The following is an 18,791-nucleotide window of genomic DNA, read 5'->3' on the forward strand; positions in this document are numbered from 1 at the left end:
GAATCTCTGATGAAAGAATTGTTGAATGATCATATGAGTAATTGTGGACTTACACTAAAAGTGAAAATAAATAAAATGCTGGCTCTTAAGGCAAAAAGATCTGCAGGCAAGGACTGCCAAGTGAATCTGAGCACAGAGCTATTGCAGCCAACTAGAGAAAAGGGGAAACTTGGAAGCTTGGAAGTCATAGATAAGGAAACACCAAAGAAGCCTTTGAAGATTACAGATTAATCTAATATCTTATGACTAGAAGAGAATGTGCATATTTGTCTTAAGAAGAGATTGTGAGTGGGAAAGTGATGTAATTAGATATGTTTCATGCATATCATAATTGTTGTATATAATTATTGGTATTGGTGCCTTAATTTACTCTTTGATAAGCCTAAGTTCTACCCTTTCCTCATCAGTTTTCTTCTGAGTTCCCAATATACTGGGTAGTTGAATAGGAAAAATCTGTTTATTTAACTTCCTATTAATCTATTCATATATAATGTATATATATAAAATGTGTTTGTGTATATATATAACATATATATAACATATATAACACATATATAACATATATATAACATATATATAACATATATAACATATATAACATATATATCATATATATATATACACACATTTCTACTAAGTTTGTGTTCAATTTTAGCAGTAGTTTCTTTTTCTCCAGTTCTTAATAAAGTAACTAATATTCTGAGGAAAATAGAGTTAAGATACTTACGTTAGGCCGGCCTGGTGGCTACCTGTAATCTCAGCACTTTGGGAGGCTGAGGTGGGAAGATCATGAGGTCAGCATTTCGAGACCAGCCTGGCCAACATAGTGAAACCCCATCTCTACTAAAAAGTACAAAAAATTAGCTGGGTGTGTTGGCGAACACTACTCATGAGGCTGATGCAGGAGAATTTCTTCAATCCAGGAGGCAGAGGTTGCAGTGAGTTGAGACGGCACCATTGTAGTCCAGCCCAAGCAACAGTGTGAGACTCCAGAAAAAACTTATGTTAACTAATGAAATTAATTTTGTTAAGTATTTTTAAGTTGTATCATTTCATTCACTTCTGCAAGGATGTATCTTGCTGGCATTGATTGTATTTTTTTTTGAGATAGGGTCTCACTGTCACCCAGGCTGGAGTGCAGTGGCATGATCTAGGCTCACTGCCACCTCCACCTCCTTCCAGGCTCAAGCAATCCTCCCACCTCAGCCTCCTGAGTAGCTGGGACTACATACAGGTGCACACCCTCATGTCCAGCTAATTTTTTGTATTTTTGGTAGAGATGGGCTTTCGCCATGTTGCCCAGGCTGGTCTTGAATGCCTGAGCTTAAGCAATCTGCCCCCTTTGTCCTCCAAAAGTGCTAGGATTACAGACATGAACCACTGCGCCCAGCCAATTGTATTTGTTTACAAGCAAATTATTGAGGAAAATTGGCAATAAATATATATACATACATCTATTTTAAATTTCTCTAATTTTATTTTGAAAGTATCTTTTAAATGATAAATGTACCCATAGACTTAATGAAAAGAAAAAAAACAAAAATATTAAATTTTCCCTTCAGTAAAACATTTTGAAACTATAAATAAAGAATAAAACACAAGGTGAAAACAAGCAGGAAAATAGCATTTAAAAATGCATATAAATAAATGTTATCTTCACTGATATCTTCGTTTACACCAGTAAACTATTACAAAATCATTTTTAAGTCTGCATTGCCTTTAAAAAAGGAAAATTCAGCATATCTTTTATTTTTTATTATTTTATTTTATTATTATAATACTTTAAGTTTTAGGGTACATGTGCATAATGTGCAGGTTAGTTACGTATGTATACATGTGCCATCCTGGTGTGCTGCACCCATTAACTCATCATTTAGCATTAGGTATATCTCCTAATGTTATCCCTCCCCTCTTCCCCAACCCCACAACATTCCCCAGAGTGTGATGTTCCCCTTCCTGTGTCCATGTGATCTCATTTTTCAATTCCCACCTGTGAGTGAGAACATGTGGTGTTTGGTTTTTTGTCCTTGTGATAGTTTACTGAGAATGATGATTTCCAATTTCATCCATGTCCCTACAAAGGACATGAACTCATCATTTTTTATGGCTGCATAGTATTCCACGGTGTATATGTGCCACATTTTCTTAATCCAGTCTATCATTGTTGGACATTTGTGTTGGTTCCAAGTCTTTGCTATTGTGAATAGTTCCGCCGTAAACATACGTGTGCATGTGTCTTTATAGCAGCATGATTTATAGTATTTTGGGTAATTCAGTGTAGCTTTTAAAAATCACCAAAAATAAATTTGCAAAGAAGTTTAAAGATATTTCCGAGATGTTTTTTATTGTGATTTTTTTCTTTCACACACAGAAAGCAATCAAGAATTTTCACAGGAAACTTGTTTTTTAATAAATTGGTGGGTGATTGTGCAGGTGTGTGAATGAATTTTGAGAGGTTCCCAGCATTCCTGGGGGCTCATCCTTCAGTAGATAGATTACAGGGTAGAAGCAGAGGGTTGCGGGCCTCTGACTCCCCTTTAAATGCCAAAAATGTGAAAATGCCTCTCGGATTTGCCTATAGCCATCCACAGAAGAACTTACACTATAAAAAAAATCTAAAGGTTGGGTGTGGTGGCTCATTCTTGTAATCCCAACACTTTGGGAGACTGAAGCGGGTGGATCACGAGGTCGAGAGTTCCAGACCAGCCTGCTCAACATGGTGAAACCTAGTCCGTACCAAAGATACAAAAAATTAGCCAGGTGTGCTGGCATGTGCCTATAATCCCAGCTTCACGAGAGGCTGAGGCAGGAGAATTGCTTAAACCTGGGAGGCGGAGGTTTCAGTGAGCTGAGAACACACCATTGCACTCCAGCCTAGGCAACAGGGGGAGATTCCGCCTCAAAAAAAACAACAACAAAAAAGCCAAATGTTATTGGCATTTTTATAAGATCCAGCAGTAAGTAATACTCAGAATGTTTTGTCCTCTAAGTTTTAATTGGCAATGTTTCTTCTAAACAAATATCCAGAAATATTTTTTAAATAAAGCTTGGGGAGTTGTTTACAAAGCACTCATGCAAAGCCATTTTAATATTTTGGAAGATAACAAGTTATATTACATTTACATTGAATTCAAGGTAATTTTTAAGTAATGAATTGTCTTACCTCATTTTATTCCAGTCCCCTCATTTTACAGATTTTACAGCCTAGAGAAGAGAAAAAACTTCTGGCAATTCATACTGACAGATAATGAGAAAACTAACAGTGGAAACCAAGTCTCCTGCCCATGAACTCACCAATCCCCATCCTTTTGTCTTTTCACTATACCACTCAATTTACTTTTGGATTCAAAGCAGAAAAATATAGTGGAAATGTGTATAAGATAGTTTCTTGATTTTTTAACTAATTTTTCTATTTAAGCCTAGGAAGAGAAAAAGGAGCATTTTATTTTATAGTTAATAAACTAAAACATACATTTTTCTTAACTAGAAAGGCAGAAACTAAGTTGAGAAGTCCTGTGCACAGTATCATTTTCAAGCGTATATCTGATGAAAAAAATATTGAAAGGAACACAAACAACTGTTACCTGAAGTGTATAACATATTGGTAAATGTTTTTGATCCTTCCATGAGGAAGGGACAATGGAGTAGATAACCTCCATACAACTGTGGGAAAACACCCACTGCTCTTTATTTTGGGAAGCTACTTTCTGAATGCAAACACAAAAGAAAAGTAAAATAAATTAAGCAACTCATCCACATACAGCTAAGATGAAAACATGTAGTATATAGTTTGTAGATGACAGTGTCAAATGTGAAGTCAATCACTACCAGAAGAGAAGAGAGCCAGCTAACTATATCAGGGAAGAAAAACTGGATAAGCAAGATGTCTGAAAAGCACTGTGGGCTACAAACTATAATAGACTCAGTGAGGTTAAGTGTAGTTTTTCAGGTCCTGGACTTGGCTTCAGAACTCAACTGTACAAGATGGGAAGTAGTGGCTTACCAGTAATACATTCAAATAAGACTTGGGAGTTTGAGTAGATAGTTAATATAAATCAATTAGGAGTTAAAAATCATATAATCTTAGGCACATATACACTGAAATATGATAACTGTAATAGGAGAAATTCTAGTTCCACTCCACTGAGTGCAGTTACAGGTAAATTACTTAATTTCCATATGCCTCAATTTCCTCATTGTCCAAATGGGGATTCAAATTCCACACTCCTTGTCATGTTGTAAGGATTAAATTAATTAATACAAGTAAAGTACTTGGCAAAGTACTTGATACTCAATAAAGGCTAGCTACCATTATTATTAGTTATTATTATTATTCAGATCACCCTAAGACACTGAACTCAGTGATACATTTTTTAAAAAGGGATAAACTAGTAAGCATTCAACAGACTGTGATCACAAAGTGACTGAAAAGACCCTCAGAATCTCAACATATAAGGATAACTTATGGGAACCAGCATGTTTAACATGAAGAAAAGATGACTTCAATTATTATATAAACTGTTACTACGTATCAGTTTATATACGTGGCTGTTACGTGGAAGAGGAGGTAAATTTGTTCTCTAAGGCTGGAGACAGAGGGTAGAAAATACAGGGAGACAAGATCTGGTTTAATACAAGCAAGGCTGTTATAATCAACAGAATTATCTACAGATGGAGTGGAGTGTCTCAGGAGGCAGACAGTTGAAGTTGAATATTTGGCTAAGATTTTGAAGACAAGGTTTACACATCAGGTGGTTGGGTAGGACTAAATGACAGCTAGAATTCTGTTCTTTCCAGACATGAGTTCCTGTAATTCCATTACAGTTCTCAAAGCACACTTTGGTGGTCAAGCCAGTCTAGTATCATTGACCCTAAAATTTGTCTGGGGGAAGAAGCTTGCCATTATCACACAACTATTAGCAGTTTTCAATGTAACATTGTGATGATGACTAACCAAATTAACTAAAGAGCAAAATACTGAAGATGACAGAATACAGCAATCCACAGGGGGAAGAAAAAGATCACAAACGTAGACAAAGCTGCCCAACCTCCTCCAAGGATCAGAGAAATGCACACTGAAAATATTATTTTGGCTGGACATGGTGGCTAATGCCTGTAATCCCAACACTTTGTGAGGCAGAGGCAGGCAGATCACCTGAGGTCGGCAGTTTGAGACCAGCCTGACCAACATGGAGAAACACCATCTGTATGAAAAATACAAAGTTAGCCGGGTGTGGTGGTGCATGCCTGTAATCCCAGCTACTTAGGAGGATGAGGCAGGAGAATTGCTTGAATCCAGGATGTGAAGGTTGTGTTGAACCGAGAAGGCACCATTGCATTCCAGCCTGGGCAAAAAGAGTGAGACTCCTTCTCAAAAAAAAAAAAAAGAAAAGAAAAGAAAAAAGAAAATAACAATTTAATTGCTAATGTTTTCAAAATTAGATGATATTAAAGCTGAAGAAAAGGCTGGGCACAGTGGCTCACTCCTGTACTCCCAAGCACTTTCAGAGGCTGAGATGGGTGGATCACCTGAGGTCCAGAGTTAAAGACCAGCCTGGCCAACATCTTGAAATCCCATCTCTACTAAAAATACAAAAATTAGCTGAGCATGGTGGTGGATGCCTGCAATCTCAGCTACTCAGGAGGCTGAAGCAGGAGAATTGCTTAAATCTGGGAGGCGGGGAGATTGCAGTGAGCCAAGGTTGTGCCATTACACTTCAGCCTGGGCAACAGAGCAAGACACCGTATCAAAACAAAAAAGAAAAAAAATGTCAAGAAGTTAGATGTACAAACTAAGTTCTTAGAGGTACAAAGTGGGAGCTGAGCTTTCTTGACTGCGTGAGATCCAGTAAGCCAGGAGGAAACAGTTTCGGAAGTTCTTGAATGTCTATTTCAATCCCTCTTTCATCTTGGAGGTCCTATGAGAGTTATAAATGCCAGTCTGTGTTAGAATCCAGAGAATGGCAAGCTAGGAATCATTTCATGGAGAAGCAGATGTAACAGGTGGAGTACTACATATGTGGTTTAATACTTCAGTCCTCTGAGAGGAGCTGTGAAATAACAGTTCCCTATTCATTCAAGGGCACTGTATCAGACATAAACTCTAGAAAAAAATTATTATTCAATTTTTCTTACCTCTTTTAAGTGAGTATTTTCATAATTCTACGTGTGTATCTTAACTGGTTTCTGCGTTTGTCTCACAGGAAATTGATGTGGTTGTGGCTTTTTATTTGTTGCATTTTTGTGTGGAGGAACAAATTAGAGCCTCCTATTTTGTCACCTTGTGGATATACCCTTTATTATTATTTTTTTACTTATTTAAAAAAATTTGTACGCAACAGTTGTAGATACTTTCGGCAATATCATGCGATATTTTGATACAAGTAATGTGTATTGGTAAGGAAGGGATCAAAGAGGGATTGGGGGTGGGTTAAATTATGGCTGCTTAGAAGGAATGAGGTCTAGTGTTCAGCAGCATAGGATGACTACATTTAACAATGACTTATTGTATATTTCAAAAGAATTAAAAGAGTGAAGATGGAATGTCACTCATACCAACAAATGATATGCCACTCTCAGAGGCTCACAACTATAATCACAACATTTTGGGAGGCCAAGGAAGGAGGATCACTTAAGCCTGGAAGTTTCAGACCGGCCTGAACAATATATCCGAAGCATTGTCCCTACCACACACACACACACAAACACAAAAGCTGGGCTCAGTGATGTGTGCCTGTAATTCCAGCTACTTGGGAGGTTGAAATGGAAGGCTCACACATTTCAACACAGGAGTTCAAGGCTGCAGCGAGCTACGATGGTGACACTGCAGTCCAGGTTGGACAACATAGTGAAACCCTGTCTCTAAAAATAATAAAGAAATGATAAGTGCTTAAACTGAAGGATACCAGATTATCTACATATTTGTTGATTTATATAATTATTTTTGAGTTGGAGTCTTGCTCTGTCACTCAGGCTAGACTGTATATGGGCTCACTGCAGTCTCAGGCTCCCAGGTTCAAATGATTCTCCTGTCTGAGCCTCCCAATTAGCTGTAACATACTACAGGTGTGGGCCAACATGGCTGGCTAATTTTTGTATTTTTGGTAGAGATAGGTTTCATGGTGTTGGCCAGGCTGGTCTTGAACTCCTGACCTAAAGTGATCTGCAAGCCTTGGCCTCCCAATGTGCTGCAATTAAAGAACTAAGCCATCACACCTGGACAGTAACATACAAAAGACTAGGGAATTTATCTTTTTACTTCATCCTCACAATGCTACATTGTAGATGAATGAAAACACAACTTCATAACATGAATAACTCACTTGAAAATCAAAGTTGGTAACTTCTCCCTTTAAAATTATTTGCACCCTTACCCTATAAAAATTGATGATCTTATTAAAATTTTGCCAAGAAAATACTTTGTCCTTGCAGAATAGTCTGTTAATTGTAAGAATGATGGACTGTAAAACTTCTAGAACTTCATATATTTCATTTCTTTAGGTTGGATAATCAGAAAAATTAATTGGTTTAGTTATTTGGGTACAAATATTTTATTTTTTTTATCATTTGATGATTTATTAAACCTTTAAGCAATCCCCTGTCTGAAACTTTAGGCTGTTGTTTTATGTTTTATATACTTCACTTTCCAAAAGTATGAGGTCTAAAACGTTCACATTCGCATCTTCAAATAAATCTGATCGGCTGATAGTTGTGGCTCATGCCTATAATCCTAGCACGTTGGGAGTCTGAGGAGGTGGGTCAGGATTTCAAGAACAGCCTGGCAAACATGGTGAAATGCTGTCTGTACTAAAAATACAAAAAATTAGCCAGCTATGGTGCACACGTATCTAATACCAGTTACTCAGGACGCTGAGGCAGGAGAATAGCTTGGACCCAGATGGCAGAGTTTGCAGTAAGCCAAAATCGAGCCACTGCACCCCAGCTTGGGCAACAAAGCTACGCTGCATCTCAAAAAAAAATTGATAAAATCCCAACTATACTAGATTATTCCTGTTTGTAAGAACTTATTGCTAAACCGTTACTTATAGTATCCATTGTCAAATCTTTCAAGAAAAAATTAACATGCATAACTCTCAAGACAAAACACATACGTTCCACTATTTAAAGTAGGAACATTTAATTTCATTATGCTATGCACTTGAGAAACTTAATTGGTTCAGTTTTGATTTAGGTTAAAAAAAAAAGTTTTCATTCCCAATATCCCCCTTCAGTCACAGAATCCTTCATGTAGAATGTTCCAGATGTCTTAAACTTTAATATCAACCACATCTAATTATTTCCTTTGACCTGTAATATTCCTCTAAAAGATAAATGTTATATGGTGAGGCAGACAGTTGTGTAGTCCTTCTGAAGATTTCTCAAACATTTTAAGCTTGTAATTTTTTAAAGAGAAACACAGCATAATTAGAAAACTTATGCAGCTTGCAAGGGAGACATAACATATGCTTGATTTTGTATCTACTTATGTTCGAAGAAACAAAGGAATATGTTCAAAAACAACACAATTTACTCTCCTATTCAATTTGCTTTTAAGCATGTGTAGCTAAGCAGTAACATCAGGCATTTTGCATTACATGTAAAATTTCTTTATGAAAATTTTAATGCAGATATTACATCTAAACAAAGAGTTTCCAAATAGCATTAACAAGTATGAAATTACTTTGAAAAAAATTCCTTTTCCTCTGAATATCTCAGAAAAATTATGGAGTAAGTATCTATGTCTCTCCACAAAACCAGCATGTTGCTTTGAGTGGTATGCAGGTAACAATGAATAAATAACATTTCAATTTTCGATTTGCAAAGAAGGTTTGGTATGCAATAACTATTATTTTGAATACTTGCTTTAATATCTACTTCAGTCTCCTTTTTCAGATCAGCTTCTCTTACCATCTCCTGTAGATGCCACATAACTTGAGCTACCATATGCTTCACGAGGAGCAGGGTGCACTCTATCCAGAGAAATTAGATTCCTTTGGTCTTTTCTGCCAACGTGCTCATGAAAACAGGAATAAAAATCACCACAGTGTCTTGAGTAACTCTCCGACTTCTGCTATATCTATCTCGTGTATTGTTATAATAATGGCGGCTTCTTCCACCATAAGACATCCGAGGCCCTTGTGCAGGTGGTGCACCATGAGAGGTCCCTGCAGGGTTGATAAAATAATATGTTGGACTACATCCAAACATTTTTACTGCTACCACTAAAGCATGAATTAGTTAAAGTACTATTTGGAAATATCTGTTTTCCTCTGCCTTTGTTGCAGGATATTAATTATGCCTGCAATAGTCAGAAGTTTTATTTAAAAGAAGTGTAAGAGTAGCATTTTGAAGCTTAACAAATTTAATCCTAAAGTAAAGGTTGAGTCACATTTTCTGAACACGAAGTGAAGTTCTCACCTTCATATCATTTAATATGCTTTATACTGTTAACAATATTCAATATTTAATCGTTATATTTGTCCCTTATAATTTTCCTTAGAAGTTCATTAAAATAATGATCTGATCTAATAAATATAATTCTATAATTTATGAATCCATCCTGGACCCTCATCATATCTCTGAATTGTATCTCTGTAAGAACTTCCACTTGGATGTTCAGAATGATCTCTACCACGGGCCTCACCATAGCCATCCTGATCACTAAATTGGAAAAAAAAAGTTTTCTTAATGCTAGAATAAACAATTTAAGAAATCTATTTGACAAATCTGGAAAACCTTATAGTACCTATATTCTCTAGAGGAATGTTCAACCTGAATAGAATGACCATAATCATGGTATGCATAGTCTCTAAGTGGTGGAGCATAATCCCTGGTTTCTGGGGAACTTGGATGATTTCTGTGTGCATAAGTTTAAGCTAAACAAATTTTAAATTTTCAACTTCTAGTATCCAAAACATAACTAACTTACAACTTAAACAAAATTAAAAGGCCAAACATCTAAATAGATATTTCTCCATATAAAATAGACACCTGAAAAGCACATGGAACAGATACTCATAATCAGTCATACAGAAAACGCATTTCAAATCCCAAATGAGATACCATACTTCACACACACACTGGAATGGCAATAAATTTTAAAAAGCAGGAAATAACAAGTGTTTGATAGGATGTAAATAAATTGGAACCCTGATACAATGCTAGTTGGAATGGAAAATGATGCAGCTACTATGGAGAAATGTGGTGGTTCCTCAAGAAAACAAACATAATTATCACAGGACCAAGCAATTCCACTCACATACACCCAGAATTGAATAAGCATACTCAAACAAATATTAGTGCGTAGAAATACTGCCATGGAAACAACCCAAATAAAATAATGGGTTAACAGCTTGTGGAAGGAGTAAAGTGCTGTGATGTAAATGAATCTTCAGGACATCACAGATGTGAAAAGTGTGTAGTGTTTGAGCCCATTAACATTAAATGCTCCCAACCAGGGGTTCAGAGTTAGAACACAGATTGGTGTTTGCTAGCAGCTGAGGAAAGGGAAAAAATGGAAGGGACTGCTTAACTGGTAGTTGGAGGTTTATTTTGGAGTGATGAAAATGTTTTGGAACTCGATGGAGGTAGTTGGTGTGTGACACAGAATGTATTAAATGCCACTTAACTGTTTACCTTATAATGTTTAATTTTGTTATGTGAATTTCATCACCACAAAAACAATCAACTGTTTTTTAAAAATTTTTCCTTTACCCATCCTTAGTTGCATAACCGTCATCTCTTGGTGACATATGGTTATTTGCCAGGAAGAGATTGGCTTTCTGCATGGAGGACCTCCATAATTCTCTCTTCCATATGATATGGGACCTTTAATATTAAAAATGATGGAACATTATGAAAAGAACACTATTTTCTGAAACACTATTTTCTCTTCTCTCAAGCAACTTTTTAAAATTATTTCTTCTATGTCTCCATTCCTCATTCCTTAAATCGCTAGACAGTCATGATACTGTGAATATTTCTTATGGCTTTGGATAATCTCATGGCTCCTGCAAGGCCAATTCTTCTAAGGAAGCTGAAGCCAAACATTAATTCATAGGTAAAAGTTCATTTGTAATGGTTAATAACTACTTAGTTATTATTTTCCTTTTTCCTTAGTTATTATTTTCCTTTTCATATGAATTACTGATTACTACTAATGGCACATGGACAAATGTAAAACCATCAAACTCTTCACTGATTTTAAAGTTTATGTACATTGTCCTTTCTCAGCTGAAGAAGGTAAATTTTCCCTTGTTTACTTCATCTCACACACAAACACTGCCACCTTTGAACAACTCCATGCTAAATTTTTACATAAAAGTTCTCCTTTATCTCTAAGTGGTTGGCTTTATTTTAAATGTTGACAAATTAAAATGTACTAGAGAAGATATTCTAATGATGGCCAAGATTTATTTTATTGCAATAAGCAATTCTATTAAAGGGGAGATTACAACATTGTTGCTATTTCAAAATAGAAAAGGTTCTCCTGTAATATACTCTTCATGTGCTATTTCTTAGAGGTCAGTCTTTCACCTATGATATGTTCACTGGCTAATTTTCCAATGGAAATATGTTGGCTTATGTATCTTGAAGTTGATAAATACCTAACTTCACCAATACTCTACATATGAAATGTAAAGTTGAAAATGGCAGTTTTCAATTTCCTCCATATTGGGATGGAGGACTAAATAAGAATTTTAATTAGTTCTGCTTAAGCTTCTTTACTAGGAAATTTAATTTATTGTCTTGCTTTCTTCTGTACAGTCTGCAATCTTACAATTTTCCTTCTCAAAATATTACTTCTATTCAGTCCTACCGCTCACATCATATTGCTTAGTTCTAAATTCTCTCCTCAAACAATTTCACTTCTTGCACTAAGGATCTTGTGTTAATGTTTAAACATCCAGGTACAATCTCCTTTTTTTCTTTATTATTATTATTATTATTATTATTATACTTTAAGTTTTAGGGTACATGTGCACAATATGCAGGTTAGTTACATATGTATACATGTGCCATGCTGGTGTGCTGCACCCATTAACTCGTCATTTAGCATTAGGTATATCTCCTAATGCTAACCCACCCACCTCCCTCCCCCCACCCCACAACAGTCCCCAGAGTGTGATGTTCCCCTTCCTGTGTCCATGTGTTCTCCTTGTTCAATTCCCATCTATGAGTGAGAACATGTGGTGTTTGGTTTTTAGTCCTTGTGATAGTTTACTGAGAATGATGATTTCCAATTTCATCCATGTCCCTACAAAGGACATGAACTCATCATTTTTTATGGCTGCATAGTATTCCATGGTGTATATGTGCCACATTTTTTTAATCCAGTCTATCATTTTTTGACATTTGGGTTGATTTCAAGTCTTTGCTATTGTGAATAGTGCCACAATAAACATACGTGTGCATGTGTCTTTATAACAGCATGATTTATAGTCCTTCAGGTACAATCTTAATTATTGATTTCACTTCCCCTTATATTTCACAACTCTGCACTACTGTGATATCCAGTTAATTTACGAATATTGGACTCCTTCATGTCTACCTTTCAAGCCTTAAATTTATATTTAAAAAATATTTAAACCCAGGGATGCCTTTTCTGCCCAATGCTCTTGTATTTCTTTTGAGTCTTTATATAAGCTGTAAGAATGCCTTGTACATAAGCATTATTGAATTCTCAGAAGCTGGATGGCCATGCTCAGCGGCTCACACTATGAGCTAGTGTGGAAGGTTGAGGCAGATGGACTGCTTGATCCCTGGGCTTTAAGGTCAGTTTTGACAATATAGTGAGATCCTCTCTCTACAAAAATACAGGAAAAAAATTTTTGCTAGGTGTGGTGGTGCATGCTGGTGGTTGCAGAAACTCTGAAGGCTGAAACGGGAAAATTAGTTGAGTCCAGGAATTTGAGGCTGTAGTAAGCCATCATCTCACCTATGCACTCTGACCTCGTAAGAGCAAGACTCCAATCCAACAAACAAATGTAACAAGCAATTTTTAGATTGGGACACCAGGGGACCATTACCAGGGGACCTAGAAAATGGAAGAATTCATTAGATGAAGAAACCTACCATCAAAGAATACTTCTAGGAGCTTTTAGAAAAATTAAGATGAATCTGCTAGCAACACAGGATGAAAAGGAATGTCAGCCTCAATCCAATCACTTCGTCGATCTGCAATGAGAGGCTCAAGTATATTTTCACCATAAATCTGAAATGTACTTAGTGAGATAGAAACTATAATAAAAGTTATCGATCTGTAATTATGCCCATGTATGTGTCACTTCTCTTGTTTGATGAACTTAAAATTAAGCAGACAGGTAAAATAACTCATTTTTATTCATACAAAAAATACAGTCTTTTTATCAGGTAGCATTTACCTTGGCCTCCCATCCGACTATTGCTTCTTGTCACAGGAGCAGATTTTGTAGGAGGAGGACCTCCATTTCTTGAAGATGGACTTCTTTTAATTGGAATGGGTCCCCTAGAAGAACTCATGTTGAAATCAAGAGTGTATCCACCATCATGTGTATTTCAAACAAAATCTTTTTAGTTGACTAACATCACTGTTTCTTAAATGGCTAAGTTTTGGTTGTTTATAAAGGTTTTCTACATATTAAAATCTTACAAATTCATATTTATCTAAACTAATAAAATTAACATTTCTATATGAAATTAGTGCAATTCATGCAATAAAAGTCCATTTAGAAAATCTAGAAAGAAACTCAAGAATCATAATATGTTGGTGAGAGACAGAGATGTGGGAAAAGTGGGAAGTGAACACAGAGCAGAAATCTATCAGTAAAATATCTAAGTATAATATACATAAAAATACTAAAAGAAAAATGAAAAATGACTGTTTATATCATTCTGTTATGAGGAAAAATTTTCAAAGCATATCATAAACTAAATTCCATTCAAAGAAATTTAAATATTTACAATATCAAAACGTGACACATCAGGAAAATACATTATCACTAAAAATTGTTAATATAATATAGAATTCTTACGATTCTCTTACAAAACACTAATCTTCAGATTAGACTATGCTAAATTTTAATAATCTTTAAGAATTGCACATTGAATAATATATAAATATTTTTATATATCTACCAAAAATGTAGATATATTCCAATTTCCAGGTGGTGTTTCAGGTTAGACTATGCACATTCTCCTTCATGGCAGAGTATTATTTAACCTCACCCTCAAGACGAATAGAGACAAAGTAACCATGAAGCTATACATCTTAAAATGGAGCAAACACTGTAATTTCAACTTTTTAAAAAATCTCCAATTAATTATACATCTGGTTATTAAAACTCAAACTTAAATGTTAGATTTTTGAAGCTTGGTTAATACATAATACAAGTTAACCAATAGGCTTGTTTGTTTGTTTATTTATATATTTATTTATTGAGAAGGACTCTTGCCCTGTCCCCCAGGCTGGAGTGCAATGGTGTGATCTCAGCTCACTGTAGTTTCTGCCTCCCAGGTTCCGGCAATTTTCCTGCCTCAGCCCCCTGAGTAGCTGAGATTACAGGTGTACACCACCGCACCAGGATAATTTTTTGTATCTTTGGGAGAGACAGGGTTTCACCATGTTAGCCAGGCTGGTCTGGAACTCCTGACCTCTTGGTCCACCCGCCCCATATTCCCCAAGTGCTGAGATGACTGGCGTGAGCCACCTTGCCCACCCCATCTAATAGTTTTTTTTTCTTTTTTTAAATACGTGGTTTGTTTTTCTTTTTTATGTAAAAATTGACCCCTGATTTCTATTGTGTAAATCACAAATAAATATCATTTTCAGTGATTAACCCTCCAGCAAAGAAAGAAACATACATATCTGTGAAGCAGTGGTGTTTAGACCTTTCCAGAGTAGCAGACTCTTTTCAGAAATTAAATTTCTGCATTTCTTAAATTGAAAATGCTTTATGGCAGGCCAATGTACAAACTCCCTGTATCGAAATTACAAAGCAATAGATTTGCTTAGATATTTGCACATGTATACATAAATAAAACAAATACTGCAAAATCAATCTTAAATACTGAGTTACTTTTTTCCTGTTGGAAAGTTTTAAATATTCCATCATATTTTGATAATACAACTGATATGAAGTTCTGGGCCTCAAATTAGAAAACTCTAAAGTATAATGAATATAAATGAATTCTGCAGAAAACCTGTTGAGTACAGGCAATCAGCATTCATAAACTCAGTTCAGTTTAAAATTTGTGTTATTTTAATGCAAAGTTATTACAATGTTAAAACAAATTTTAGATATTAGTTTAATCGTTCTTATAATACACTTTAGTACTTAGAAATAATTTTGCTTATCATGTTAATTTTCTGTTCATAAAGGAAATAAAAAAAATTGAGAAATTCCAGTATCTTCAAACTTATTTTCTTTCAGTCCTATGGTTCCATCTTTATATTTTAAAACATTACCCACGTGTCCTTCATGTGAGGGAAGCCACCCTCTTGTTCCTCCACTACTTCCTCTTGCAGATCTCACACTTCCTGAAGGGCTTCTGTTTCTTGAAGGTGGTGGTCTCCACCTACCACCACTTTGAAAAGATAGTTTTTGGCTTTGTTCTACTTTTATTGCCTTTCCATCAAAAGACTAAAAGTATTAAGGGTACTATCAATAACATTGGCACGTTTAACCTAAGCACATTTTACTAACAGTTTTACATCAACTATAATTCAATTCTATATATTTTCACCCAAAACAACCTTTTTTTCTCCTAAAATGAACACATCTTTCTCAATGCCAAATTTGAGATATTTACTGAGCACATGCCTTCCATTATGGAACCAAACACAAATGTTATTATTCAAATTCCTTGAAAACTCCTCCATTATTAAAACAAAAACACCTCAAACAAAAAAAGATTAACCTATCACACATTCTATGAAATAATGTGGCACATTTATAATCCACTTCATCTTTGTATTCACAACACTGATTTAAAACTTTCAGTGTCGCAGTGAAACTTGTGTCATTTAAAAAAGTGAGGTTACCTATTCAAAGTGATTAGTCACATTATTCATTATGAGTTGTTTCTTGTTTGATCTGCTAATACTTACATAAAATACCCCCATATGATTTACAATTATATATTTACTCTAGAAATGTTTCTATAAATATGATCCTTGTTTGGTCTTATTAAGGTTTCTTGCCTTACTCATTTCTTATTTTGTCTTAGACTTGTCCATAAAAAATGACTCTTAATACAGTACTCCATGTAATTTCTCAGAAATCCTTAAATGTTCTAATTAATTTCACAATAACATTTTTCAGTGTACTCTTTTCTGTAGGCCACTCTAATTTTTGAAAACAGCTCAGCTAAGAACTTGATTTAAAAACTGCATGGCTTTTGTTATTTGGGGGAAGATATTAAATACCTTATAGGACCTTTTGCAGCCACATCGCCAGTTGCTCCTACCATGGAACTTTTTTTGTTATTTCTGGGCCCAAAATATTTTCCCTAGATTTCTGCATGGCTGCTTCCTTCCCAGTGTTCCAAAGTCATCCAAAATTCCTTAAACTGTTAATTCCCCCTGAAAACTCTAAGAACCTCCTTTACTGGCCATCTTAACATTTATGTGCATGTAACATTCAAATTAATTTTTACACAGTAAAATATGTGAGGGGAAGTAATTTAGAAATAACATTGGCCAGGTGTAGTGGCTCATGCTTATAATTCCAAAACTTTTGGAAGGCCTAGGCGGGTGGATCACGAGGTGCAGAGATAGAGACTATCCTGGCCAACAGGGTGAAACCCCGTCTCTATTCAAAGTAAAAAATTAGATGGGCTTGGTGGTGTGTGCCTGTAGTCCCTGCTAATCAGGAGGCTGAGGCAGGAGAATCACTTGAACCCAGGAGGCCGAGGTTGCAGTGAGCCAATATTGCCCCACTGCAATCCAGCCTGGTGACACAGCGAGACTGTCCTAAAAAATAAACAAACAAACAAACTAACAAATGCTACACAAATTACCTGCTCTTGTGCTCAAAAAATAGGAGGAAAAAAGAAATTATCATAGATTACTGTGCCTAAGTCAAAATTATCTCCATACCTACCACAAAGCTATGAACCAAAAGCCACTCTCAGTTTTTACCACAGCTTAAAATACTAATTTATGAGTGAGGCTGGGTGTGGTGGCTCACGCCTGTATAATCCAAGCACTTTGGGAGGCTGAGGTGGGTGGATCACGAGTTCAGCAGATCAAGACTGTCCTGGCTAACACAGTGAAAAGCTGTCTCTACTAAAAACTAAAAAAATTAGCTGGGTGTGGTGGCGGGCGCCTGTAGTACCATCTACTGGAGAGGCCGAGGCAGGAGAATGGCGTGGACCAAGGAGGTGGAGCTTACAGAGAGATGAGATCGTGCCACTGCACTCCAGCCTGGGTGACAGAGCAAGACTCTGTCTCAAAAAAAAAGAAAAACTACTAATTTATAAGAGTGAATAAAAATGTACTTTCTTCTATGTGCCAGGAAGTGTGCTAGATGTAATAGAAATAAAAACAACTAGAAAGACTTAAATATGCACTATAGACAATTTAACAATCAATAGTTTAATACATGATACAGTGAGTATAAAATACCTACGATATGCAATGAGGAAGAAAATATGAAATTTAAGGGGTTTCTTTGAAGCATAAATTGTTATTTTTAGACATACACGGGGAAGGATAATTCTCAAGGAGTCCAAAAAAGCATTTGGGGGATAGCATAGAGAGTAACAGGAGCTAAAAACACATTGGGATAATGTTATTTATGATTACTTTTTGTTTCTTTGAGACAGAGTCTCGCTATGTTGCCAGCCTGGAGTGCAGTGACTTGATCTCGGCTCACTGCAAGCTCTGCCTCTTGAGTTCAACTGATTCCCCTGCCTTGCCTCCTGAGTAGCTGGAACTACAAGTGCACACCAGCCTGACCAACTAATTTTATTGTATTTCAGTAGAGATGGGATTTCACCATGTTGGCCAGGATGGTTTCCATCTCCTGACCTCATGATCCGTCTACCTGGACCTCCCAAAGTGCTGGAATAATAGACTTGCGCCACCACGCCCTGCCTGACTGGGATAATGTTATAAATAAAAAAAACCTCTAAAGGGCCCAGAATGGAAGGATGTTGACTACCATGTAAAAGAATTCAATAGCTAATAGAATTATATGAAAGTTTAAAGCTTTAGTAAACACACAATCCCTAGATTTAAGACTCAGTAGGACAAGAGACCATTGGTTGGATCAAAACAAGTCCTCAAACACACTGGGAAAAATGAGTTATTAGGTATTCCTGTTACATAAATCACTCTGGTGACAGGAAAAAAAAGTCCTTAGGAGAAGAGAGCAAGGATGAGGCAAAAATGCCAGTTACTTCTTCTGTTATCCAACTTCAATGTTCTCATATTATTTTCTATTTTCAAGTACTTGACACTTCCATAAATATAAAGGTCTTATTTAAATATACTTTCTCAAAAATATATTTTCAGAAAGTGGGAGAGAATCTTTCCTTTTTGTGAGTCTGTCTAGATGTCTATCCACAGTTTGTCTATGCTCTAGGAGTATTTCCATGAATTGGATGTAATTCCATTAATAGCATTTAATAAATATTGACTTATTCCTTTCATTCACATGAGGATTCCTTCTAAGTTTTAAAGATCTTCAAAAGCTTCAAAAATCTATCTATAGAAATAAAAACATAGAAAAAGGTTATCATATATTAATTTATATAATGTTTATTCCAATACCCTTCAAACTACACTTGCATGTATATGGCAAAAAGAA

General features: G+C 35.8%; 1 pseudogene across 1 annotated transcript; it reads right to left on the reverse strand.

The window, feature by feature from the left end:
* Positions 1–9,013: 9,013 nt before the first annotated feature.
* RBMY3AP (RNA binding motif protein Y-linked family 3 member A, pseudogene) lies at positions 9,014–13,446 on the reverse strand (annotated as a pseudogene). The gene is made up of 3 exons (NR_001573.2): positions 13,383–13,446; positions 13,075–13,176; positions 9,014–9,164 (listed from the first exon to the last, which is right to left on the reverse strand). The product of NR_001573.2 is annotated as an RNA binding motif protein Y-linked family 3 member A, pseudogene (transcript).
* Between the last annotated feature and the right edge of the window lie 5,345 nt (positions 13,447–18,791).

This window comes from Homo sapiens, chromosome Y, assembly GCF_000001405.40.
Source record: "Homo sapiens chromosome Y, GRCh38.p14 Primary Assembly".
Classification (NCBI taxonomy): domain Eukaryota; kingdom Metazoa; phylum Chordata; class Mammalia; order Primates; family Hominidae; genus Homo; species Homo sapiens.